A 26008-nucleotide genomic window follows, 5' to 3' on the forward strand; every position below is an offset into this window, starting at 1 on the left:
AATACAGTTTCTAGAGCTCATGGAGGTTGTGGGTTTCAAGGCCAACAGGAGCATGACTCTCTGAGCTTCACCTTCCTTTAAAAGTTAGACCAGGCCCACTCAAGATAATCTCTTTTTTGACGAATTCATTATTAACTGATTACAGACATAATTATGAGAGTGACGTTGCATTGTACAGGATGTATATGCCAGAGGATGGGACTCTTAGTGGCCATCTTAGAATCCTGCCTACCCCAAGCCTCAGTGTAGATAACCACTAAGTATTCATGACTGTGTCTCATCATTATTCAGGGCTCCAGTGGCTGGATGGCAACCACTCATAGGCATCTCCACCTGGACATCCTATCGACACCTTTAAATAAATACCCCTTCCCCAAACAAACAATCCCACTCTATTCTAGCATATTTCTTCACCAAGAAAGCCATTTTTTTTCTTTTTCTTTTTTTTGAGATGGAGTCTTGCCCTGTCACCCAGGCTGGAGTGCAGTGGTGCAGTCTCGGCTCACTGCAACCTCCGCCTCCCGAGTTCAAGTGATTCTCCTGTCTCAGCCTCCCGAGTAGCTGGGATTACAGGCGCCTGCCACCTCGCCTGGCTAATTTTTGTGTTTTTAGTAGAGATGGGGTTTCATCATGTTGACCAGGCTGGTCTTGGACTCCTGACCTCAGGTGATCCGCCTGCCTCGGCCTCCCAAAGTGCTAGGATTGCAGGCGTGAGCCACCTCGCCCGGCCAAGAAAGCTGTTTCTATAAAGTAAATTCACATTTCTTGTAAGTTCTGGGCTAAAAACATTGGAACTCTCTTTGTAACTTCTTGTTTATTCCCTACAGTCTGTTCCCAGGACTTGTGATTCCATCCTTTAAATGTCTCTCAGATTTGCCATTTCTTCTCTTTTTTTTTTGAGACGGAGTCTTGCTCTGTTGCCCAGGCTGGAGTACAGTGGCGCGATCTTGACTCACTGCAACCTTTGCCTCCCAGGTTCAAGGGATCCTCCTGCCTCAGCCTCCTGAGTAGATGGGATTACAGGCGTCAGCCACCGCACCTGGCCCATTTCTTCTCTTTCACACTGTCCATACCTTACAAAGACCTGTGCAAGTTAGCTTATTGCCTTGTGAGAAAGGGGAACAGTCTAAGGAATGCCTACATGCATTATATTCCATACTTCCATCGTTTTGTGCCACCTCTCTCCCCGTTTTGGAGGGGATAATACATTATTGAATGGTGTTGGCTCATGCCTGTAATCCTAGCACTATGGGAGGCTGACGTGGGTGGATCACTTGAGGTCAGGAGTGTGAGACCAGCCTGGCCAACATGGCAAAACCCCGTCTCTACTAAAAATAAAAAAATTAGCCAGAAATCGGCTAATTGAACTCGGGAGGTGGAGGTTGCAGTAAGCTGAGATCGTGCCATTGCACTCTAGCTTGGGCAACAGAGTGAGACTCCATCTCAAAAAAAAAAAAAAAAAAGAATGATGTTGAAGAAACAGTAACAAAAGAGCACCAGGACATAAAGGCAATGGTAATCAGAACTAGAGGAAAATGTGACAAATAGAGAATTGGAGAGGGTCCTAGAATAACCAGACAAAGGATGTGAAGCCCTTCCCAGAATGAATCACTCCTATGGAAGGAACAGCCCCTTGGGCTCCACGAAATAATGAAAGAAATCTGTAGAAGTTAGAAGGAAGTAGCCTTTATTCAACTTGTTTGCTTTTGATATGCCTAGTGCTATCTCATGGAACCCATTGGTCACCCCATTTACAACAGACTCACCCCACTCCCTATTCCTGGGCCAATTCTTTTTTTTTTAATTTAAATTTAAATTTTTTCATATTTAAATTTTTTATTTTTTTATTTCACTAGGTTTTGGGGGAACAGGTGTGTTTGGTTATTTGAATAAGTTCTTTAGTAGTGATTTCTGAGATTTTGGTGCACCCATCACCTGAGCAGTGTACACTGTACCAACATGTAATATTTTATCCCTCACCACCCCCCACCCTTTCCTGCAAGTCCCCAAAGTCCAGCATATCATTCTTATGTCTTTGCATCCTCATAGCTTAACTCCCACATATGAGTGAGAACATTGGATATTTGGTTTTCCATTCCTGAGTTACTTCACTTAGAATAATAATAATAATAATAATAATAATAATAATAATAATAATCATCCAGGTTGCTGTTAATGTCATTATTTCATTCCTTTTTATGGCTGAGTAGTACACCACATAAACAGAATTAAAAACAAAAACCACATGATTGTCTCAATAGACACAGAAAAAGCATTTGACAAAATCCAGCATCCCTTTATAATTATGATTAAAACCCCAAGCCAATTCTGACTTCAGGGAAGGTTTGCTATTTCTTTTCTCTACCCATCTGTGGGTCTTTAGCATCATCATGCACTCAATTTTAGCCCCACAGGGTCTTGCTCCCTGAAGATTCCCTCATTGTTCCTTAAGCCACCTTTCCTCCTTTCTTCACCCTGAATACGGGGCCTCAGTCCCTGACATTGTTTCCTAACTCAGCCTCTATGTTTATCCATCTGGTATGTGGGGAAGGAACAAGTGGGCTTGGGCTTTGTCACTTCAGTGGGCAGATCCACTGAACAAGGCAAATTTCAGCCTGACCTTCTCATTCTGTGGAGATGCTTTTCTACTATTGTAGCTTTCTGTGGGAATTGTACCTAACTTTCCTCCTTTTCTCTTGAGCATTTCTTCTTTAAATTCTTCAAATTAGAGGAAAGCAGTGTTATTCATTCATTTTTGAGTTTAACTAATAGTTACTGATTGCCTACAGTGTGTCTTGGGAGTGTTCCTGTTGTGGAGAGAGAGCAGGAAACAAATCAGACAAATCCTTTGCTTCCTGAAGCTTGCATTCTAGCAGACAGAGATCCAGAAGACAAAATGACCCATCTGAGTGAATGAGGGAAGAGTTGACTGAGAGATGACATTTCAAACCATAATCCCTCCTCTTCTACTTTTTTTCTCATTGTCTCCATCTTGCTTAGAACTCCACATCTTCAATTATTCTTTTCTCTTGTATATGTAGATGAACTCCAGTTATTTTTTTATTTTTATTTTTTTGTGACAGGGTCTTGCTCTGTGTCCTAGGCTGGAGTGCAGTGGCATGATCATAGTTCTCTGCAGCCTCAATATTCTAGGCTCAAACAATCCTCCCTTCTCAGTCTCCTAAGTAGCTAGTTCTACAGGTGCACACCACCACGCCCAGTTAATTTTTTTTTTATTCTTAGCTGAGAAGAGGTCTTACTATATTGCCCAGGCTGATCTTGAACTCGTGAGTTCAAGCAGTCCTCCTGTCTTGGCCTCCCAAAGTGATGGGATTATAGGCATGAGCCACTGTGCCTGGCCAGTTATTTTATTTTATTTTTTTACATCCTCAAAAAGAAAACCTTTATTCTTTCTGCTCACCAGCTTAAGCTATGGTCTGGTATCTCTCCTCTCCTTTTTACACAAGCTCTGAGATACCCCTTTGGCTCTCACATTGTTTTCATTCATTCCTTTGCCCCCGTTAATCTGGATTTTGTCCTTGCTGCTTTGTTGACACTGCATTTTAAGAATCATCTGTGATCTCCTGGTCATTAAATTTAATAGCTTGTCTCAGTTTTTATTCTCAATACTTTTCCAAACATGTGACTGTGACCACAATATTTTCCTACTGGGAAGGCCCTTTCCTTTGTTTTTGCATGACTAAATTCTCTTTATCAAAAAATGTTAGCTCGAATGCCACTTTTTATCCCTTCTTGATTTTTTAAAAATGTCTCTTGTAGCATTGATCATTTCTATTCTGAATTATAAATAATAAATTAACCTTTCTGAGAGATGAAACTGTTTTATTGATTTTGGGATCTCCCACTACACTTAACAGATTGCCTTGCATATAATAATTACTTATTAAATATCTGTTAAATGCATGAAGAAAGTAATAAACACAAGTAAGTTTCATGTCATTTTTAGAACTTTTCAAAACTAGAATTGTAGAATAATGTAATATTTTATTCTACAAGCAGAAATATTTTGAATATCTGTTATCTAAAATGTAAAAAAGTATTTGAAGAAGACACTTGAAACAGAAGACTTGCTATCACAGGAATAAATAAGCACACTCTGTCATTAAATGTTGTTTTTCTACATTTCCACTTACTCATCACATTTTGTTTAGTTGTTCATAACCACTCTTTGAGTCATGTGATTGACTGGGTCAGTGGTTCATGGTAAGAAATATGTTTGATGTATTATTCTCAACATGCTTTTGAAATTCTGTCTCTCTTTGCTGTCTGGTCTTACCTCTGGCATTTGATATCCAGTTTCCTCATATGTCTGATTTTGATTCATATGGATTGGGAAAATTATTCTCAGTATAATGTGGATCTGTTTTTCTTTTGAGTTCATAAATAAAATAAACATCAGTATGATTTGACTGCTGTTAATGATAATTCAGAGGAATGTTCCTTTCATTAAGTTAAAAAATGACTATGAAGAGAATAATTCCATTATGTGTTTTTTCTTTGGTAAGTAAATAAAAGTAGAGATTTTAAAACTATTTAACAACTCTACTGGTTTTCAATGTTTACAGGTAAAATATTTATGGGTTGAAGTTTATTTCTAATTACATTGCAGTGAAGCCAAACCATATTTGCAGCAAAGCAGAAAACTTTGAATAAGTACTGCATTATGTATTATGTAATAATTAAGGTCAAATTTATATGTAGAGGTTCACCTAATTGGAAAGGATGCTCAATCACTATTTTTTCTTTACCAAGTAGTAAGTTCCAACTAAACTTTTCCAGGTTCAGGGCCACTCAGAAAGTTTGAGAGTAGTCTGATTCTGTATCTAGTGTAGAATGCCAGAAACCAGGCTAGGTGAGTTCAGACCCTGGCTTGTCCACTTACTAAGCATATAACCTTGGGCAGATTATCAGACTACTCAGTGCTTCAGTTTTCTCATCTCTAAAATGGGGTCATCATAGTACCTCTCCCATAAAATTATGATGAGGTAATTCATGTAAATGAGATAATTCATGTAAAATGCTTAGAACAGTGTGCAGTAAGTGTTAGCTTTGATCAGTCGTAAATACTAGAAACTGATAAACGTGGTGCAGATGGGTAGAATACTGATTCTCCTTTTAACATGGCATGGACAATATACCTTATGTACTCTGGAGTCTTTTTTCCTCCTCAACCCTAGTTATTCTGAAAAAACTGTTCACCTTATGGTGTGAGGGAGAAAGTGAAGCAAGTTAAATTGCAAGGGGAGTTTGACATGTAAAGTAACAGTATTAGGTTAAAAAGAGAGATGCCAGAAACTCAAAATCTCTTTCTGAGGCGAGGTCAAATTTTTCTTCTTGAAAGTTGTGTTTTCTACGAATGCTAGCCCCTTCATTTCTCTTTTAGCATTTTGTCCCCATAAGATATTTTGTAGTTAGTAAATGAGTGAGGTTGAGCAGAAGGATGTGAGAATTTATTGATTTAGTTAACAGTGTGTTTTCTAAGTAAGTACAGGGGATAGTAGAGGACTTCTAGTCCATTCCATTGATGTAGGGGGACTTGCCTGGAATATAAAATGTGAAGCCAAGGATACAACCAAAGATACAAATGTGAAACTACTCACTACTCGGGTGAAAGGGGCAGGGAGCAGAAAGGCTGAACAGAGAGGAGTTAGTGGCTTAGGGATGGTGTAGAGAGTACAGTGACCTGGGTTTGGGTCAGGATTTTTCCATTCGTCAACTATGAGACCTAGTTGACGAATTAAGTATTAACATACTTAATCTCCTTGGTCTTTAGTTTTTTCTTATAAAATGGGAGTTGCAATGTGACTTTATTTGCTTTCATTCATTGCCTGTTCATACACCATAATGACCAGGTGATTTAATTATAGAAATCAACACCTTCCTATGACACTTAGAATAATATCTCAGATCCTTACCCAGGCCTGCAAGGACCCATATGATATGGCCCTTTTACACTTTCCTGACCTCATCTTGTACTACTGTCTCTTTTACTTACTAGGTTCCAACTCCAATGGCTCTCTTTCTGTTCTTCACTGTATGTAAGCTTTTTAGCATATTAAAGTCTTCTAACTGGTTGATCTCACTGCCTAGAAAGATTTCTTCTAGGCTGGGCACAGTGACTCATGCCTGTAATTCTAGCATTTGGGAGGCCCAGGCAGGTGGATCACTTGAGGTCAGGAGTTCGAGACCAGCCTCGCCAACCTGGTGAAACCCTGCCTCTACTAAAAATACAAAAATTAGCTGGGCATGGTGTTGTGTACCTGTAATCCCAGCTACTGGGGAGGCTGAGTCAGAAGAATTGCTTGAACTTGGTAGGTGGAGGTTGCAATGAGAGATTGTGCCACTGCACTGCAGCCTGGGCAACAGAGTTAGACTCTGTCTCAAACAAAAGGAAAATTTCTCCTAGATTTTCACAGGCCTTCTCCAGGTCTTAAGTTAAATATAACATCTTCAAAGAGGCCTCTACTAAGCCCATTAGTTTAAAAGAGCACTCTCTGTGATTCTGTTGCATTTTCTTCATAGCACGAATCATTTCTTGATATTTTCCTGTATATGTCTGAATGTACCTTACCCTAGAATGTAAGCTTCATGAGAGTAGGACTATGTCTTTCTCCTTCCCTGCTGTATCCCCAGTATCTAGAGCAATTCCTGGCACATAGTAAGTGTGATATCAGTGTTTTTTTTTTGTTTGTTTTTGAGACGGAGTCTCATTCTGTTGCCCAGGCTATAGTGCAATGGCTCTATCTCGGCTCACTGCAACCTCCGCCTCAAGCGATTCTCCTGCCTCAGCCTTCCGTGTAGCTGGGATTATAGGCACTCACCACCATGCCCAGCTAATTTTTGTATTTTTAGTAGAGATGGGGTTTCATCATGTTGGTCAGGCTGGTCTTGAATTCCTGACCTCAAGTGATCCACCTGCCTTGGCCTCCAAAAGTGCTGGAATTACAGACATGAGCCACTGCACCTGGCCTAAATCAGCTTTTAAATAAAAGTATGGAATGAATAAGGTGCTGACTGACACTGAAATAAATATTTGCTCTTTACCCTAAAACTCCTATTCTATTTATGCTTTCCTATAAGACTGGGAAAGGAAATAGGAAGATGAGCCCATAGCATCTTATATTGTCACAAAGTAAGGGAGTGCTAAAAACAAAGCCCACACAGCGAGAGGGACACAGGTACCAATGGAGAGAGGTCCTAATGGCCAAAACTGGAATAATTTGATCAACAACAAAAAAGTGGTATTGAATTATAACCAAAAAAGTATTAAAAAAAAAAAAAAACACATGACCATGCTGATTTAAATAAATGATTGAATAAATAAATAAATAAAGGGAGACAAATGTGTGCTAAATTCTAAATAATTATGTAGATACTCCACCCTCCAGAAGCAGGACCATAACTTTCTACCCCTTAAGTATAGGCTTATGTAGTGACATTCTTCCAAAGAGTACTGTATGGAAAGGGGGAGGAAAAAAGAGTAATCTTACAGCAGAGAAAACTGATAAACACTACCTCAGCCAGGTGATCAAGATTGATTGTTGACACTGTGTATCTTTGATATGATATGTTGAAATTGGTGCTGTTCTTTTATGGTCTTTCTTTTAAAACCTCATAACTCCAGTCTAATTATGAGTAAAACATCACAAAAATCCCAGTCGAGGAAAATTCTACAAAATACCTGATCAGTTTCCTCAAAGCTTTCAGTGCATAAAAAATAAGGAAAGTATGAGGAACTGTCACAGCGAAAAGGAGCCAGGATGACTAAATACGGAGCCAGGATGACTAAATACAATGTGGTATCCTGGTTGGGATCTTGGAATAGAAAAAGGATATGAAGTGAAAAGTCAGGAAATCTGAGTATGTGGGTTTTAGTTAATAATGTGTCAACATTGGCTCTGTAATTGTTAAGAAGGCACTCCACTAATATAGGATGGTAATAACAGGGATACTGGACGTGGAGTAGATGGGAATTCTCTGTACTATCTTGGTTTTTCTATAAATTGAACAATGTTCTGAAATACAAAGTTTATTTCAGATAAAATTCAAATAAAATGTTATGAATATTTTTCCACATGATGCTATATTGTTTTGTTGTGTCATTTAAGTGCCTATTTATCTTCTATTGTTATATACAGATGTCATAGCTTATTTAAAACCACCCATTCTTGGCATTTAAATTGGCTCTAGTAGTTTATACCTACATCTTTGATCATCCCTTTGGTGATAGAGGAAGGACTGTTTTTGCATGGAAACTTTATCTTCTCTTGTTTGATATTATTTCCGATTTCTTCTCTTATCTCTCTTTCCCCTTAGGTTAGGACTTTTAAATACTTTCTATAGGCTGCTGAGTCCTGCCTAATTGATTATATCACAGGCATCTCAAATTCAACACATTCAGAGGTGGGCTCTTATTTTCTTTTCGCTTCAATTACTTCTCTCCCTGATTTCCGTTTTTCTGTTAAGGCTGTCATAGTTTACCCAGATATTCAGCAGGACTGTGGGAGTTAAGTTTGGTTTCTCCTCTCTGTCACCATTCTGTCTGCATCCTCTGCCCATACAACCTTTCACATGCTCTGTCTGTTCTGTTCTTAAAATATATCTTAAACTCATGATTTTTCCATGTCTACTGCTACCAACCTTGTCTGAGCTATCTATCATCAAATTATGCCTGGACCTTTACAATATCCCTAACAGTCCCCTTTCTCTCTTGCCTCTTCTTAGTTCATTCTTTGAATATAATTACAAATGTGGGGGATCCCTATGGGTTTTAAATAGAAGAATGACGATACAATTTGTGATTGTTCTGAAATGATCATTCTGCAAGATGTGCAAAGAATGGCTCCTTACCATTACTACAATGACTGGCATGCTGTGGCCTCTGTCTACCTTTCTCTTTCATTTCGTTTCAGTCTCTTTCTCACCATGGTTTAGTTATATTTGTCTTCTTTCAGTTTTGTTCTTTCTCTATGCCAACCCCTTTCCTGCCTTTGAGCTTTCGCACATGTTACTCTTTGTTTTCCAGTTTTATCTTCCATCTTCTTTCCCCATGGCAGGTCCTATAATTCTTTGTTTAGTTATTTTCTTTACTATTCCAAAGAAGGCAAGACTATATCTTTTTTATTTCCTTATGTATACTTAGTACCTAGAGTAAAGCCTTACACATTAGCAACACTCAGTAGTTGCTGAATAATTAAACAAGTAGTAATTACCATTTTCATTCATTTGTTAAAAAATAGTGTTCAGGATCTGTGTTAAGTGCTATGGAAACACACAAAGGGTTTAAAATAAATAAGTCTTACCTTGAAATAGCTCCTTATTTAAAAGGAGGGATAGAAGAACATATAAATAATATTGTAGCATGGAGGAAGGCAATGTTGTTGGAGTAAAGTTCTGTTATTAACCACCTGTATGTCCTCACATAAGTTTTTTTTTTTTTTGAGTTGGTCTTGTTGCCCAGGCTGGAGTGCAATGGCGCGATCTCGGCTCACCGCAACCTCTGCTTCCCGGGTTCAAGCGATTCTCGTGCCTCAGCCTCCCGAGTAGCTGGGATTGCAGGCATGCTCCACCACGCCTGGCTAATTTTTTGTATGTTTAGTAGAGACGGAGTTTCTCCATGTTGGTTAGGCTGGTCTCGAACTCCCGACCTCAGGTGATCCACCTGCCTCAGCCTCCCAAAGTGTTGGGATTACAGGTGTGAGCCACTGTGCCAGGCCAAGTTATTTTTATTCTGTGTTCCTTTTTGTATCCATCTGGATATTAAGGAGTTTGACTAGACTCTTGTAAGGCTATGCTTCTCAACTCTGGTGTGCCATTAATACTACGCTGGTGAAATTATTTTTTTCCAAGTTTCCATCCCTGAAAAACCTGATTCATTTGGTATGGGGTGGGTTCTATGAATTCCATAGGTGACTGGGGGGATGCATGGGTAGGTTAAGGAAGTAGTGACCTAGCTCGTTCTAGCTTTGACATCTTACAATTCTAATTGTAGTACAAGGAAGACTGTGAAAGTGCAGTAGAAATCAGATAAATTAAGTGTTGTATTCATTCGGGGGCAGGAAATATAATCTCTTGCTTGCTGGCTGGGATTGGGGCTTAATGGAAAAGATGATGTTGAAATAGACTTTGAAGAATAGGTGGAAATGTGGGCAGGTGGGTGATTGCATGGTTGGTGTTCAGTTCACCTTAGCTGTAGGCCAGAAGACATGCAAGGGAAGTGGGGGAAAATGACCCGTTTTGATGCAGTGAACCATGGTTCTAGTCTTGTTTTTTTCATTTTACCTGTCACACTTGGTTGTCCTTTTGGAGATGAAAGATTGTATTATTGCAGCTTGATCCTCATTCGGTGGAAGTGGAGCATGTGGTGACAGACACCATGTGACTGCTTTGAGAGATAATTGGGCATATTCTTCCTCAAGCCTTTTGGGGCTTTGCTCTTTGAGATCCATTTTGACCACCCCATTGGTTTTCTGGTTAGAAACAAAGAATATCAGGACCCACTCTGTTATCTAAAATAATAGTTTGCTGTCAGAATGATTATTATTAAACCAAAGTTGACTTTTTTGTTTAGATGAAACCATAAAAAGGCAACATTCTGAGTAAATTATATAGCGTCCACTTGATGAAATAATAAGCCTAAGTTTAGGGAATGAAAGTAATGATCTAATGCAGTATTTAGAATGCATATACAGTATATAGTTATTAACCAAAAAGTCACATCCTGCATTCTTTTAATTTGTGCAAAATTTGTCATTAATTGCCCAGGAAACCTCTGATTTTTTTCATACATAATCACATCATAGCTATTGACTTTCTCTCCCTTCTCCTGCCTTAAAATACATCCCTGTAAATAGTAGATTACTTTCAGATTGGTAATACCCCCTTTAAACATTGAGTTGCTAAGTTTAGCCATGTTGCTCTCTTTCTTAAAAAATAGAATTCTTTTTTCCCCAACTTTGTCTTTGAGTTGTTACTGACAAATCACACTTTGGTTTTTTTGTTTGTTTGTTTTTGTTTTTGTTTTTGTTTTTTTTGAGACTCTGTTGCTGAGGCTGGAGCGCTGTGGCGTGATCACCGCTAACTGCAGCCTTGACCTCCCCAGGCTCAGGTGATCCCCCCATCTGTTTTTTTTTTTTGTTTTGTATTTTTAGTAGAGACAAGGTTTGCTATGTTGCCCAGGTGGGTCTCGAACTCCTGGGCTCAAGCGATCCACCTGCCTCAGCCTCCCAAAGTGCTAGGATTACAGGCATGAGCCACTGCTCCTGGCCCACACTTTGTTTTTTCATGGCAATTGGCTTAAAATTTTATTTAATCCTTCTGCCCAATGTGAGCCTGCTAATTCTGAAATGCTTTTTGTTTTCATTAACTACCACTGTATGGAGGAGGAAATGTATATAGTATTCTACTTGCAAACAGTTTGAGAGATGAATTCTGATTCTTCATTCAAACTCATTCTAAATGGGGCAGGTCAGAAACACAGAAGTCAAAAATTGAAAAGAAAGAATAAGATAGTGGGTAAGGAATGAGGCAGCCAAGCTGATATCCAGCCAGGAATCCAGTTCTTCCCTATCCCTGGCAACTATCTTAGATCAATTTAGGATTTATAAGTTGGCCTGTGATCATCCAGCCACCTCACCACCTCATGTAGCCCTTGATGATGTTGGTCTATTGACTTTGAAATTAGAGAAGTAGAAATAACAAGCCTTTTGTGATTGACTACTTGCACAGAATAACCTTTACTAATTTGAATTCTTGGCCTTCAGTAGCAACAGAGCCCCTTAGAGAGTGACATTCGCCATGATTTATTTGAATGAAAAAATAAATAAAAAGAATAACAACATAGCTAGATCTGAAAAGAGACCTGAGAAGTCAGAAAATGTCTCCAATTTCAGGAAGGGGTGTCAAGGGAAATAACTCCTATTGCATCCCTTGTGTCTTTTTTTTTTTTTTTTTTTTTTAAGACAGAGTTTCGCTCTCGTTGCCGAGGCTGGAGTGCAGTGGCACGATCTCAGCTCACTGCACCCTCTGCCTCCTGGGTTCAAGCGATTCTCCTGCCTCAGCCTCCCAAGTAGCTGGGATTACAGGCATGTGCCACCATGCCTGGCTAATTTTGTATTTGTAGTAGAGATGGAGTTTCTCCATGTTGGTCAGGCTGGTCTCGAACTCCCATCCTTAGGTGATCCACCTGCCTCGGCCTCCCAAAGTGCTGGGATTACAGGTGTGAGCCACTGCTCCCGGCCCCTCTTGTCTTTTTATCTGCCAGATTGTTAAGAGGAATAATAGAGCCCGAAGTGTATACCACATTTGCCTTGTAAGCACGTTGAAGATTACTTACTATTTTGCAAATTGTGTTTTGTGTTCATTCTGCCTGGGTGGTGTTGCAGGACTGCTTCTGCTTCATCCAGAGCACTTGAAATATTATCTGCTTACATATTTATATATTAGGGTTTCATGTATTATTTGGTTGAATACGAGGGTTCTGCTTTTTTAAAAAAAATTTGAAAACCTTTGGTTTAGCTGAAATGCCCAAGACTTTATAGAGAATGTATCAGAAGATCAAAGAAGGTAAATTACATACCCACAGTCATGGAACTATTTAGAGGTCAACAGAGATTAGAAACCATCTAGGTTTCAACCATCCATGTCTGGACTTCCTATCCAGGGCATTTTTGCTACAAAATGTTGATTTGATTTTCCATTTTGAAAGACACAGAAGTGATCTGTGAAATGGTGATTAGCACTAGGCGGCCCCAGGCAGCCCTGGAATGCTCCATGGTTCAAATGCCCAAGACCAGATGGAAGTCTAGAACTGGATGACTCAAAGTTTATTAGTTTTGCCACCTGGGCTGTACAGCCAAACCAGCTGCCACAGGCAGTTCCAATTTTGACAGAGCGGTAAATGAACATAAAAGTGAGTTTAAGTCCCAAGAATAAAGTAAAGGAGAATGGCTGCAGCAGCAAGGTGATTCATCCAAGCTGAGTCCTGTTGATATTTCTTGTAGGAAGCACAGCTGCTGTGCTAGGTAGGGGGCAAGAAAAGGCCTGAAAAATCATGCCTTGAGTTGTTCCAGGAGCCAATCTCAATTTGGGGTATGTTTTAATGACAGGCTTTGTAGGTTTTCCAATCGCATCTGACGATCTAGAAAGGGAAAAGCAAGCCGGTGCTATATCATGATTATGTCATGTGGCCTGAACCACTTTTTATTCTTTTCTGGAATCCATGGAAAATCATTTGATCACCTCCTTTCCATAGTTCTGTGGTGGTGGAGCCATAAATATTCATTGGAACATAAGATCCTTGTGGCAGATCACCAGGAATCAATTCATTATCTTCATATTATCGTCATATTGAGTTGAACTATTGTAGATTTGTCAAGATCTGTCCATGAAATACTACAGTAGTCAGAAATTGACTCTAAGGTTTTGGATGACCCCTTTAATAGATCGGCAGTTCTCAAAAATTGAATCGAGTATGACAGTGAGCACATGGGGCTAGGAACAAATTGGGAGAAGTACAGTAATGTTTCTTTAAATGAGGATGATCCACTAATTAATTTTAAAAACTCAAATAATCTTGATCTTTTCTGTCAGAATGCTTTGGGCAGAATGTAACAGAAAACCTGGCTAAACTGACTTAAATAAAATGGAGGTTTATTATTATTACTTTTCTGTGTCATCAGAAATTTAGAGGAATGTGGTTCCTGGCTTTGGTTCATCTACTCAGTGATGACACAGGCTCTCTTTGTGTTATCTTGGTGCAAAATAAAAGGAGATACATGCAGAGGGGAAAAAAATGCACGAGTTGCTGATGTATATTGCCATGGGTTTGAGGATAAAGGCCAGACCACGGTTCCATCTGCTTGGTCAACCTCTGCTTTCAGATAATCTTTTTAGGGGTTGAACGTTTATGTATTTATATTTCTCAATTGACTATTACTTAGTCTCATGCAATAGTGTAATGCCGTTCTTCATTTGTGTGATAAAAGTACAATGCCTGTATATTTTCTAACTTGATGGACAGGTTTTTTTCTTCTACAATGAGATGAAGTGAAATTACTTTCATAATATAACGTTCTCTTTATGAGTATAGATAAACTAGCTGTTCTATTTTATTTATTTACTTTTTTTCCTGGTAGGTGGCGTGTTTGTCTCACATAGCTGCAAATTATCTTATTGGTCAAAAGGAAGCAAAACGTTGGGGTACAGCTCATGGCAGTATCGTTCCTTACCAGGTAAGACTACAGCAGTCTAGGGTTGGGCTGTTGTAATTTGCAGTTTTATATGATGTGTTTTTGGAAAATGATTTCTTTTTATACACAAATCCTTCAGCTGTTTTTTTTTTTTTTTTTTGTAATGTATCTGTGTCTGGCTATAACAAGGTTCTGTTGTTCACTTTAAGTTCTGTTTTGCGTATTTCTTCATCAGAAAGAGATTAGTAACAAGACCCTTAAACAGATCAAAGGAACTTGCTGAAAGTAAGTGCCTTTTGGGCTCGTATGATGGTTTTCTTTTTTTTTTTTCCCACCTAAAAGAGGCACTGACTGTAGCCATTTTATAAAGCATGATTTGTTAACCATGTCAGTTACAAAACAAATGTTACCTACCCCATCTGACAATAATATTCTCACAGGATTGAAGTAAAATGAAAATTTGCGTGTGATGGTTCTTCATTTTTGGAACAAAGCAGATGGCTCAGGAGCTGCTGTTCTTTATTAAGTGTCTTAACTTGTCCTTAGAAATTCTTGACTTTGGCTAGTGTAAATGAATATGTGAAGTAACTGTGATCTTTCAAAAATAAAATTTAAAACAAAACCTAGCTCTTCTTCCAATCCAGTTGCTTGGTCCAGTTGCACTGTATGTTGTTGTATTTATTAATGTATCTGCATATCTCCTGTACTCTATTGCAAACTCTTAAGAGTAGAGGTGACTTTTTCATCATTGTATATCTTCTCACAATCAATGGAAGCACATGTTAGGTACTATATACATATCTGTGGAATGAATGAGTGAATTTTACTGGAGTCATTTCAATGTTAGTGCTCTTGGGAGAAAACAAAAAAGTCAGCATTTTTCATTTGCCAGGAAATTCATCAACCCTGCTAATCATCCTTTTAGCTTTAAGACATTATTTCCTTGGGCAAAACTAGTTTCTTTTCCATTTTTTAAAATCGGAATTTGAGGAAAGCACTGACCCAATATGAACCTGGGATTCTTCCCTCTCTGTTTATATTCATGGCCCTTTACCTGAGGCATTACTGTGATTTCACTGTAGCACTGCTTTTCAACACATTGAGTTGATCTTTAGGTGTAATTACAGTTGTGGAGGTGTTTTCTCCAGTTCTTCCCCTTTGTCTGCACCATTCGTTTTATGACCACCATTAATGACATTTTGCTTCTCCACTTCCTAGCCCTTTGTGACTGACCCTATACTTCTAACCAGACCTGCTTCATTTCACAGACGTCATTACATTGTTGAATTGGTTAGAGATCATCAGATTTAGTCTTTTTGTTTTTCAGATAAGAAATCTGATACCTAGATTGGGCAGATGAACTCCAACTGTGGTGCCCTGCCTCCTTGTTGAGTATTCTTTCAGATTCTGCTACCTTTGATAAGAAAAGGTGATTTCAGTTCCCTTCATCAACTCTACCCCTATCAAGGGTCTCCATCAAACTTGCTCCTAGGTCAAGGGTCTGATCAACTAAATTTATACTCGTCATTGATAATGGAGGTCTTTCTCAAGGGTATTTTAACAGAACAATGTTGGAATCTATGGGAAATCATCTCAAATAATGGAAGTCTGGCTTTCAGTCTTTATTTATTTATTTATTTAGAGACAGAGTCTTGCTCTGTTGCCTATGTGGGTGTGCAGTGGCACGATCTCAGCTCCCTGCAACCTCCACCTCCCAGGTTCAAGCGGTTCTTCTGCCTCCACCTCCTGAGTAGCTGGGACTACTGGCATGTGCCACCACGCCTGGCTAATTTTTGTATTTTTAGTAGAGACAGGGTTTCACCATGTTGGCCAGACTGGCCTCGACCTCCTGACCTCAAGTGATCCACCTGCCTCGTCCTCCCAAAGTACTGGGATTACAGGCATGAGCCACCATGCCTGGCCTGGCCTTCAGCCTTTTATGTACGTGAAGAAAGCATTCCTGAGTTGGAAGATTCTCTAGTGTAATTCCAAATCCCATCACATAGGTAGGTGTTCACTGTGTTCAAGCATAAAGTTTATAGTTTATTTTTTGCTCATTTAAAAAATGGAACATCATTTTAAAAAGCTTTATATAGACCTCAGCTATTCCTTCTGGGCATGTGCACCTAGAGTTCTGGCACCCTGGGTATGCCCTCAATTATTTCACTATGTGTTGAAAAGAAATTCAGAATCTTGGCTTTTATTTTGGAAAGTAAAAGACATAGGATTTTTTTTCTCTTTCTCTCTGTGTGTGTATCTGTGTCTGTGTTTGTCTGTTCTTCAATGATAGAAATGTACTTTTCCTGTTGAATTGTGCCATTCACATAAAATGGATAGTATACTTATTTGATTTTAGTTGATTGCAGCTGTATTATCTATAAGAAATAAGAAATCTACCAGGTTATTTCCTCAAGAGCCCAGAATTAATTTGTTTCCTCTTCCCAAGAACTAGTTCAGCACTGTGATTAAGGAATAAATGCAAATTTAGCTGAAATGAAACTAGCATACCAAGATGGGTCCTAGATATGCTTAGAGACCCCGGTCTGTTTTCAATTTTAAAAATAGATTGGGGGAATATTTTTGTGGGTGAATGCCAGGATAATTATAATTTAGTTTTCTGTAATAATTACAGAAAACTTTGCATCTAAGTTGAGTTGTCTGAGTTTTGGGCTGTCTATAATGGAAGACTCTGATGGTCACAGGAGTTACTTGAGGTGCCTAGCTCACTCTCCTCCATTCTTGTTGAACCCTATCTGAAAGATTGTATACCTCAAATGCATGTCATGTAAATTTCAGAAAAGTAGTGATTCTTGTTTTGTGTGTTATTTTATAAGCATGCAGTTCTTAACTTCTCAGATTGATTATCCTCTCATGCCCTTTTCTTCCCTATTCTTTGGCTGCCAGCTTTTTAAGATTAAGTAAGTTAGACAAACGTAGACAGAGCTGACATAATTTTGCTACTTGTTGAACATGTTGGTGGATGCTTTTCTGAGAATTCAGATATTTATGTATTTATTTATTATTTATGAGACTGGTTCTCACTTTGTTGTCCAGGCTGGAGTGCAGTGGTGTGATCATAGCTTACTGCAGCCTCGACCTGCTGGGCTCAAGTGTTCCTAGTAGCTGGGATACCGAGTAGCGGAGACTACAGGTACCAGCCACAGTGTCTGGCAGGTTTCAGATTTTTAAAAAAAAGTTTTAGATTTCACTGCTTCTTTTGTTCCCATTTCTAGTGGACCCTGCCACAGAGAAGCACTTAGCCTAAGGGATTAATAGTTACATAATATTTGTTAATTTTTTGTTTTTTTTTTGAGATAGAGTCTCGCTCTGTCACCCAGGCTGGAGTGCAGTGGCGTGATCTTGGCTTACTGCAACCTCCACCTCCCAGGTTCAAGCTATGCTCCTGCCTCAGCCTCCTGAGTAGCTGGGATTACAGGCATAACAAAAACGCCTGGCTGGTTTTTGTATTTTTAGTAGAGATGGGGTTTCTCCATGTTGGCCAGGATGGTCTCGAATGCCTGACCTCAAGTGATCTGGCTGCCTCGGCCTCCCAAAGTGCTGGGATTACAGGCGTGAGCCTGTAATATTTTTAATGCATAGATATGTTTCCCAGCCCTTAAACAATTATACTTAAAGACAGTAGGCTTTTAGAGATGGGAGAGGAGGGTGCAGAGAAAGCAGATAGCTGGTCTCCAAAAAGAATATATTTTATTATGTAACATAGTTGTCAGTGGGGCCACTGCCCTTTACATACATGGCCAACATGGTAATTCTTTTAATTTCATAGCCTGCATCTATCTAAAACTCTTGCCCAAATTTCTTCAACCTTCTAGGAACCTTCATTTCCATGTCCTCCTTTGTTTGTGACCCACACTGACCTCTACTGTCTCCAATATCGTAGAAGATCCATTCACAAATACACTCACAAGGACAGGTGATACTGAATATAGTGGGAAAAAAATGGAGTTTTTATTTACTTATTTTAAAATTAGATTTTAGAGCATACAAGTGCAGGTTTGTTACATGCAAATATTATGTAGTGGTGAAGCCTGGGCTTTTAGTGCAGTCATCACCCAAATAGTGTATGTCGTATCCAATAGGTACTTTCTCCTCCCTCACTCCCCTTCCACCTCCCATGTTTTTGAGTCTCCAGTGTCTATTATTCCACTCTCTATGTCCATGTTATTTAGCTCCCACTTATAAGTGAGAACATGCAGCATTTGACTTGCTGTTTCTTTTTCTTTTCTTTTTTCTTTCTTTCTTTCTTTTTTTTTTTTTTTTGAAGTGGAGTCTCACTCTGTCACCCAGGCTGGAGTGTATGGTGCGATCTCGGCTCACTGCAACCTCTGCCTCCTCGGTTCAAGTGATTCTCCCCCCTCGGCCTCCTGAGTAGCTGGGATTACAGGCAAACGCCATCACGCCTGGCTAATTTTTTGTACTTTTAGTAGAGACAGGGTTTTGCCATGCTGGCCAGGCTGGTCTCAGACTCCTGACCTCAAGTAATCTGCCCACCTCGGCCTCCCAAAGTGCTGGGATTATGGCCATGAGCCACCGTGCCCAGCCATTTTTGTTTTACTTTGTTTTATTTTGACAGAGTCTTGCTCTGTTGCCGAGGCTGGAGTGTAATGGTGCTGTCTCAGCTCACTGCAACCTCTGCCTACCGAGTTCAAGTGATTGTCCTGACTCAGCCTCCCGAGTAGCTGGGACTATAGGCCTGTGCCACCATGCCTGGATAATTTTTGTATTTTTAGTAGAGACGGGGTTTCACCATGTTGGCCAGGCTGGTCTCGAATGCCTGACCTCAGGTGATCCACCCACCTTGGCCTCCCAAAGTGCTGAGATTCCAGGCGAGAGCCACCGTGCCCAGCCTGACTTGATGTTTCTGAGTTATTTTACATTAAGATCATGGCCTCCAATTCCATCCATGTTGCTGCAAACGATATGATTTTACTCTTGTTTTATGTCTGAGTAGTATTCCATGGTATAGATATACCACATTTTCTTTATCCAGTCCATTGTTGACAGGCACTTAGGTTTATTCCATGATTTTGTTATTGTGAATAGTGCTGCGATAAACATGTGAATGCAAGTATCTTTTTGAGATCTTGATTTTTTTTCCTTTGGGCAGGTATCCAGTAGTGGGATTGCTGGATTGAATGGTAGTTCTATTTTTTAGTTCTTTGAGAAATCTCTATACTGTTCTCCATAGAAGTTGTACTAATTTACATTCACACCAACAGGCTATAAGCATTCTCTTTTCTCCATGTCCTCACCATCTGTTCTTACATTTTAAGAGCAGTGTTTTTTTATAGATGAAATGTACCCAGTCTTACAACAGGAGGCCTCACCTTTCTAACCATATCCTTTGATTGTTACCAGGGAGTTTCACTGTTCTGAATAGCATAAGAATCTCCCCATCTTGTGTCTCTCTCTCTCCCTTCTCCTTTCTGGCTTCAGAGGTCCCTTGTCTCTCTTCTCCTTTTCAAGAGCAATGAATTTCTCTAGTCTTCTATGAGTTTTTATGCTCTCTAGTGCAGGCACAGTCTTTGTGCCCACAGATCTTTGGGTAGCTACCACTATACTAAGTGCTTAATGATTTAGTTTTGATATACAGTGAATCCCTTCCCAAGGGGCAAGCTGATGTGAGGATCTAATAGAAGCCCACCAGACTGTGTTTCTGATGAGACCATCTGTCCCCCCAGCTCATTCCTTTGGCAGCAGGAATTGAGGGAGCTCACAGTTTATTGTGCTCCTGGCAAAACCACAACTCCTTCAGCTATAGTGTTGCCCTCATGACAGGGTAAATTGCCCAAGAGGCCGGTCTTGAGAATAAGACTGTAACCTTTCCTTAAAAAGACTACCAGAGCCAGTCATGGTGGCTCACGCCTGTAATCCCAGCACTACTGATGCGGGAGGATTGTTTGAACTCAGGAGTTTGAGACCAGCCTGGGCAACATAGTGAGACCTGTCTCTCAAATAAAAAAGAAGAAGAAACTAGGCATGATGGCACAAGCCTGTGGTCCCAGCTACTCTGGAGGCTGAGGTGGGAGGATTGCTTGAGCCTCCCACCTGACTTGGAAGGTTGAGGCTACAGTGAGCTGTGATTGCACCACTGTACTCTAGTCTGAGTGACAGAGCGAGACCCTGTCTCAAATAAAATAAATAAAATAAAATAAAATAAACTACTACCAGAATGAGTCCCATCACTCCTTATACCCATTTGCCTCAATTACAACCAGAACTCCAAACCTTTTGGCCATCTGTTATCACCTGGACAATTTTCCCATATGGCTCTGTTAATCTCTCTTCTTTTGACCCAGTCATTTCTCCTGTCATCAGTCTTGGTGGCTGTAAAATCCACATAGAGGACCCTTGCAACAGTCCACCCTCTTCTTTCTTTAACCTCTCCTCTCTTGCAGTGATCCTTTTCTGTTCTCACTTGGCTCCCACTCCCATTCACTTGGTGTTTCTCAAAGTTTAAAGTGCATGTGAATCATTTGGATGTCTTGTTAAGATGCAGATTCTGTTTCAAGGTGATGTTGATGCTGTTAGTAGGAGCACTCAGTTTCCAGATCTAAAATGCATTATTATCATTATTTTTTTAGAGACAGAGTCTCTCTCTGTTGTCCAGGCTGGAGTAGTGGTGTGATCATAGCACATTGCAGCCTCAAACTCAAGCAAACCTCCCACCTCAGCCTCCCGAGTAATAGCTGGGACCACAGGCACACACCACCATGCCCAGCTATTTAAAAAGTTTTTTTTAGAGACAGGGTCTCATCATCTTGCCCAGGCTGGTCTTGAACTCCTGGACTCAAGTGATCTTCCCACCTTCACCTCCCAAAGTGCTAAGATTACAGCTGTGAGCCATTGCTCGCAGACTTAGACTGTTATTATCAATGACTATAGCTTTGCCTTTATACTCAACTGGCAAAATCCCAGTGCGGATAGACTTAATAGTTCATCTATTCCTGGCCTGCAGTCAAGTGGTGGATATGGCCAGAAGAAAATATGCTACTTTGCTGATGATCTCCCTCCCAATCCATGGCCATCTCTCTCAAGTGGCCCCTCGGGCTTACCCAGAAATCCTGCCACCTTTACCTAGGTAATTTATTTTCTCCCCCTCTGAGATGACTACCTCACATCTTCTCTTCTCTAAGATCTTTCCATCTCTCCTCATCCTTAAAGACTTTGTCTCTTATTCCACTTAAAATTAATGCAATCAAAAGAGAACTACCTTATCTTTTCTCTACTGTACCTCCCAAACTCTTGCATTTGAACCTATATATAGATCACTGCATTCCTTCCTGTCACAAGAGAGGAAGCGTCCCTTTCCATATTTTGCCTAAGGGCATTGCATCTGCATTTTATGTCCTCTATCACCTGTATTATACTTCATAGGATAAGCAGATGATCATATATATAAATAAATAAATAAATAAATATATATATATTTATTTTTTGAGACAGAGTCTTGCTCTGTTGCCCAGGTTGGAGTGCAGTGGCGCAATCTCAGCTCACTTCAACCTCCACCTCCCAAGTTCAAGCAATTCTTGTGCTTCAGCCTCCCAAGTAGCTGGGATTACAGATATACGTCACCATGCCAGGCTAATTTTTGTATTTTTAATAGAGATGGGGTTTCACCATGTTTGCCAGACTGGTCTTGAACTCCCAACCTCAGGTGATCCACCTGCCTCGGCCTCCCAAAGTGCTGGGATTACAGGCATGAGCCACCACGCCCAGCCAGATCATAGTTTTGACCTTAAAAAGCCCACCAACCTTTCTTTGATTCCCAAGCAATGTCTTTTTCAAATCCTATCCTATTTCTATATGTGCTACTATACAGGACTCTTCCAAAAAATTTTGGGTGATTGCTGGATGGAAGCCCTCTACTGTCTATTCTATGATGTGGTCTGTGCTTTGCAGACCAATGGGAGACCCCAGGAGTTCAGGTGGTATGCAATAGCTAGGGGTAGTTGACTTTCTGAGTAGTTCATTAGTGAGAATTCTTTTTTTATGCTCTTTCATGAGCCTTTCAATGGGAATTTTCCTTTAAATGGCCTGATAATTCACATGGTAATTTCTTCTAAACTTTTCTTCTGAAGTAGCTTCTAACTCAAGAGGTTGAAGAAAACAATTATTTACATGATTAAATAAAATAACATCTTCCTTGTTCCAATTTGGGCTTATTCAACCAAGGAGTAGAGCAGGAAGCTGTGCTATGTTATTTCTGGTGGGGACATTATACTGTATATTTAATTTGGCAGAAGCAGAGACTCAGACAGGCAGTAAATTCCAAGTTTGAAGATATGCAGTACTTTGCTATCATTCCTTAGAAAAATGTCAAAGTGCTGTTAAATCATGGCAGATTAGGTAACATTGGGAATCTTTTTCTTTTTTTTTCTTAAACACATGTTAAGGATTTTTTTTTAAAAAGTCAAAATATAAATGATATACATCTGTCTCTTCTTGTGTGACTTTCTATTTATTTATTTTACCATAGTCACACTAAGGCACTAAAATGTGAAGGTATAAACAGGCATATGATTCTATCACATGTTTAAAATAATTGTTGTATTAGTAATAACAGTAACAATAATCATGATGGTTACCAACAGACATGTACTATGTAGCTGGGAGATATATGTATACATACATGTATGTATGTATTTATAAAATTTTTGCTTATTCTTCTTTTAGTTTGATGAAAGGGAAGCCTAGAGACATTAAGCAGTTATGTTCTAGAATAAATAGGAACCATGGATTTAAGGTTTTAAAACTTGTTTCTGTTTGTGACCAGCCTGGCCAACATGGGGAAACCCCGTCTCTACTAAAAAATACAAAAATTAGCTGGGCGTGGTGGTGCGTGCCGGTAATCCCAGCTACTCGGGAGGCTGAGGCAGGAGAATCGCTTGAAACCAGGAGGTGGTGGTTGCAGTGAGCTGCGATTGCACCATTGCACTCCAGCCTGGGCGACGAGCAAAACTCCGTCTCAAAACAAAACAAAACAAACAACAACAACAAAACAAAAACAAATTTCTTTTCTGACTGTATCCAAACTAAGCTGGATGCATCATGGATGTGCGTCTTTTTTTTTTGTTTGTTTTTGGCAGATTCTAGAATTCTTCTAATCTGTTTCCATTATCTCTTTAACAAATGTCAAGTTTATTATGATTCTAGTGGGTACCAAACCTAATAGCTGGCCTTGCTACAGAAGTATCTTTGAATTATGAGCTGTAGGGCAAGTGTAGGTTTCCCCCTACCATGGTTTCAGTACATTGCTTTCAAATGACTCTTGACAAACCAATTAAAACATAATTTCTTGAGTACCCTGTGGGGTAGGCAGTGTTTTAGTCCTGAAAGCCTCCAAATGAGGAAGAACTGGGCCCTTGATTTCAAGGGACTCAAAGGCAATATAGCAGGGAAAGTTGGGAGAACTTGAGCTTTGGGGTCAGACAGGCCTGGAGAATTAAAAGAGATCATTGTACTAAGTGTTTTGTGCAGCATCTGACTCTAGAAAGCCCTCAATAAAAGGTGGCTCCTGTTATTATTGGTGTGTTGAACTAATAATTATAGCTTTTGTGAATAATAGTTTCTATGAAAATATGAAATAGTCTCTATGAAAACTACCCATAGAAGCTTAGGGGCAGAGTAAATAAATAAACAGAGCTGAATTTCTTTCTTAAACTTTATGGGATTTTTAGCTTAATTTCTTTTCATTTTTTAGAGAAGAAAAGAGGGCAACACGCTGTGGTAATTTTGTTTTAAAAAAACTCTTTGTAGAACTTTTTCGGAAATTGTAGCCTTCAGCTCATTGTCCAAATATAGCATTATTAAAATTAATAGAGTTTGAGGAGAATCATGTATGGCAGCATCACTCAGTTGTTACAGGGAGTAAGGCTTCTAGTTTATTGAATGGTTTAATTAATTGAGATTGGGTATAGATTCATACTTAACAAAAGGAACCATGACAAAAATGATTTTCAGGAGTAATCTCTGAGAAGCCCACAAGATGGGAACCTACCTTTATAAAAAATATATACTCACCTTTGTAAGAGCAAAAAATTGTGGAGATTTCTCTTTTGGTTTTAAAAAGTGAAGGAAATAGAATATTTTAAACACTTGTTTTTATACCCTTAAAATTGCAAAGAATGTCGATAATGCTTACCCATTAAAAAATATTTGGAGATTTATTGGGAACGAAAGAGTAGGTGATAGCAAAGACATTAGATTACATTTCAGAGGCTTCTACAAACTTTTGATTAATTAGCACTGATGAGTTAGAATATTCAAAAGTTGGTTTTCTGGTAAATTAAGGCATGGATTGTATGAACCCCCAGCCCCTTTAGTTCTAAAGTTTTTGGCCAGGTAGCTTTTGAATATTTGCCTTTGTGTATGCCTTGATCCTTACGGATTTGGGATTCTTGTTAAAGCAAGACAAAATCTTTTGTTTGAAGATCCTGGTTAAATTTGGAACCAGTTGGCCAGGAGGTTGCCACAGTCTGAAGAATATAGGTCACTGGGCAGTCCAGGAGCAGGTAAAATTAAGGCAGATGTGCCAGCTGCGGCATAATAGCTGCCACCCTCTGGGCTACTTCTTAGGAAAGATTTGGCTGTCTTTGATTTAAAACAAAATTTCTGAAGTTAACATAAATAAGGTAACATGATGTCCAAGGGTAACTATTGCACAAAGAATAAATGCACTTACAACTGTTCAAAGACTATTATGATTTTTTAAACTCAGAATTCCCTCTGACATATAGTGTTTTAAATGTGTTTCGCTAAGAGGTAAAATAGAAGGTGGTGCAAGGAAAGTAAAAGTAGTAAATCCCTAGTTCCTTTAAGATTTTTTCGGCTTTTCTTGTATTCTTAATATATGTGCAGAACTAATGTGTTTTTATATTTTCTATGCCTAACATATTTGGCTAAAATTATCTAAAAGAATCAAAGGCCATTTTGAATATTCAGTCATTAGTTCTAGTAATATTATCTTAATCACTATAATAATTATCAGATGTAACATTTATCAATGATTACTGTGTTATTAAATATCTTACATATATTAAATCAATATTTACCACAGCCCTTAAAATAGTTATTGCTATTATCTCCACTTTCACATGTGGAAACTGAGGCATAGAGAGTTTAGATAACTTGTGCAGGGTCACAAGTCCATGGTATAACTGGGATTCTAACTGAGGCAGGGGGACTTGAGCTCATTGTACTGTATAGGCAGATGATACAATGCTGCATGTTTAGTTTCATTTTCTATCTTTATCCTACTTTTGAGAAATAATTATGTGACCTTTTCCTCTACATAATTTCCCCTTTAGGACTGCCAAGAGCAATTCAAGAGGTATAAACAATTCTGTTGTTTACTCATCACAGGGATCCTTAATTATGACTTAAAAGCAAATTTCCTTCAGAAATCAGGTTGTACATCTTTTGAATAAATCCTTTGGTCGCATATGCTAAAATGGTATTAGGTTCATAAGTAAGTGATGGTATAGTGAAGCAACTCTACCTATTAACAGTTCCATCTATTTAATGAGAACAGTCCTTGAGCAATATAGGAGTTGGGGATGGTTTTAGCTGTTGTGAGACTCATCGTTTCTAGTTTTCAACCTGTATTTCTGGAGTTTGGTAGTGTGGGGACAGAGCTGGGATGGGAAGGAATATTTGGGACATGAGGAGGAGTATTCCAGGGCCTAAGGAGGGGGATAGCCTGGGTAGAAACCAAGTAGACAGTTTTCTAAGTATTCACACCCCATTTCAACCAGAACAATTCCACCTTCTGGTAG

At 39.2% G+C, this 26008-nt stretch overlaps 1 protein-coding gene across 19 annotated transcripts in view, besides 1 other annotated feature; it reads left to right on the forward strand.

Annotated features, from left to right (window-relative positions):
* SUGCT (succinyl-CoA:glutarate-CoA transferase) overlaps nt 1-26008 on the forward strand; it is a 903812-nt gene that overhangs the window by 167599 nt on the left and 710205 nt on the right. For all 19 annotated transcript variants that reach the window (XR_007060157.1, XR_007060158.1, XR_007060156.1 and 16 more), the window contains one exon: nt 14157-14252. Coding sequence is in view for 16 of the 19 variants with exons in the window: in XM_047420840.1 (XP_047276796.1) it covers nt 14157-14252 (96 nt within the window). In the remaining 3 variants the exon portion in view is untranslated. The remainder of the gene's footprint in view (nt 1-14156; nt 14253-26008) is intronic.
* Nucleotides 8945-9014: an enhancer, noted in NCBI's record as "active region_25891". NCBI's record gives its function as "activates an Ori minimal core promoter by ATAC-STARR-seq in GM12878 lymphoblastoid cells {active_cell/tissue: GM12878}" and the evidence as "EXISTENCE:reporter gene assay evidence [ECO:0000049][PMID:35858748]".

This window comes from Homo sapiens, chromosome 7 (genome assembly GCF_000001405.40).
Source record: "Homo sapiens chromosome 7, GRCh38.p14 Primary Assembly".
Lineage (NCBI taxonomy): Eukaryota > Metazoa > Chordata > Mammalia > Primates > Hominidae > Homo > Homo sapiens.